This window comes from Homo sapiens, chromosome 15 (assembly GCF_000001405.40).
Source record: "Homo sapiens chromosome 15, GRCh38.p14 Primary Assembly".
NCBI lineage: Eukaryota > Metazoa > Chordata > Mammalia > Primates > Hominidae > Homo > Homo sapiens.
Window position 1 is genome coordinate 45,249,116 of NC_000015.10, and position 2,465 is coordinate 45,251,580.

Below are 2,465 nucleotides of genomic sequence, written 5' to 3' on the forward strand. Positions count from 1 at the left end.
TAGCTTAGAACTGGGAGTAAGGGACTCAGGATATAGAATTGGCTTAGTCACTAACTAAGGTTTTGACTCTGGGTAAATCACTTTATTCTTCCTGATCTGTAATATGAGAAAGTTCATCCATCAAACTATATGTGATAAGGCAAAAAACAAACAATGGGGCCCAAGTCAGTTAATCAAGGGGAGGTACCTGCTAGGTTAAATCTTTTCCTCTTGGCAGTTGGGTTATGTCAATATTTGTGTTTAAAAAAAATCTGGATCCCTTGGGAAAGTGAGAGGAGTACTATGGCCTGCACTTAGAAGATGAAGATATGGGTTTTTACATCTTCTATAAGGAAAGAAAAAGGGAAGTGGGAGGGTGAGAGAAGACAGAGGTGTGATCACTGGCATCATTTCACCTGAACAGAATACTAGGATCTGTGCCTATCATTATGCTTGGACTTAGCCCCGGAAGTGGCAATTATTTAAGGTAAAAACTGTTGGGGCGTGGTGACTGGAGCCTGTATCCCAACACTTTGGGAGGCCTAGGTGGGAAGATTGCTTGAGGCCAGGAGTTCGAAACCAGCCTGGGCAATATAGTGAGAATCCTGGGTCTACCGAATAAAAATTTAAAAATTAGCTGGATGTGGTGGCACACACCTATAGTCCTAGCTCCTCAGGAGGCTGAGGCAGGAGGACCACTTGAGCCCAGGAGTTTCAGGCTGCAGTAAGCTATGATCTCACCACTGAACTCCAGCTTGGATGACAAAGCAAGACCCTGTCTCTAAAATAAATACATACATATGTACACAAATAAGGTAAAAATAAAAAAAAGATATAAGATATATATCCTTTTGTAATCTTATATATTTTTGTATACATTCTATCTTATACATATATCTTATATATATATAAGATTTACAGGTATATATGTATTTAAAAATATACAAAAAGATATAAGATACATGTATAAGATAGAATGAGCAAGAGACACTTCACAGTCATATTGACATATAGGACAACAGCTTGAAAATATCTGTAAGCAGGTTCACTTTCAACACTGGTGTCTTATTTTCCTGAATTAATATAAGATCTTACAACAGTGCTCCACAATTGCAAAGTCATGTAATATTTTTCCAAGTTCTTTCTTCTGTATTAAATTACTTAATTTTCATGATAATCTTATGAGATAGGATTAGGCAGGGTGGGAAAGATGGAAGAGGCCCAGAAAGGTAAAGTGAGTTGCTCTCGATCCAGAATACAACACACATCTACTCTGTGAGGGATTCTGTGTACGTCTGCGCACATACACATGCAGAACTGGGGAAACAGAAATATGTCCTTACTTTGGTGTTTGGAATCCGCATCTACATACCAAATAATCTAAGCCAGAATCTGTGGTGGTGATGTTGTTTTCACATATTTTACAAATATTTATTGATTGCCTAATAATATTGTGGTGGGCCTTGAGCCTAGGGATACAGTGAAGAACAAGATAGAGAACCTGGCCAGGAGCAGTGGCTCACACCCATAATCCCAGTACTTTGAGAGGCCAAGGCAGGAGGATGGCTTGAGCCCAGGAGTTTGAGACCAGACTGGGCAACATATTGAGACCCCTATCCCCACAGAAAATTAAAAAAAGACTTAGCCAGGTGTGGTGGTACACGCCTGTGGTCCCAGCTACTCCAGAGGCTGAGATGGGAGGATCACCTGAGCCCAGAAGTTAGAGGCTGCAATGAGCCATGATAGTGCCATTGCACTCTAGTCTGGGTGACAGAGCAAGACCTTGTCTAAGGAAAAAAAAAAAAAAAAGACAGAGAGCTTGTGCTTGAGGAGATCACTGTCTAGTAGGCGATGGTATGTGCTCTATAGGGTTCAGCAACAACATGGTGCAATCAGAGTGCAGGGAGGGGTCCTAAGTTTTATCCAGAGGGCGTCATAGGAAGCTTTCTTTCTTTCTTTCCAGGCCAGGATAAGTGTTACCAGCTCTGTAAAGTCTTTCTCTCCCTCTTTTTTTTTTTTTTTTTTTTTTTTGAGATGGAGTCTCGCTCACCCAGGCTGGAGTGCAGTGGCATGATCATGGCTCACTGCAACCTCTGCCTCCTGGGTTCAAATGATTCTCCTGCCTCAGCCTCCTGAGTAGCTGAGATTACAAGCCTGCACCACCATGCCCGGATAATTTTTGTATTTTTAGTAGAGATGGAGTTTCGCCATGTTGGCCAGGGTGGTCTCGAGCGCCTGACCTCAAATGATCCGCCTGCCTCTGCCTCCCAGTGTGCTGGGATTACAAGCGTGATTCACCGCGCTCGACCTGCAAAGCCTTTCTTGACACATCCGTCTTTCCTCACTGATCTGTTCGTTTTTTGATGGCAGAGACCTTGTCTCACTCATTTTTATGTCCTCACACGGAAAACGGTGGCTGGCTAATAGTGGTTACTCAATAAGTATTTGTTGAATGGATTAATAAAATAATTCCTAGCAGTCATTTG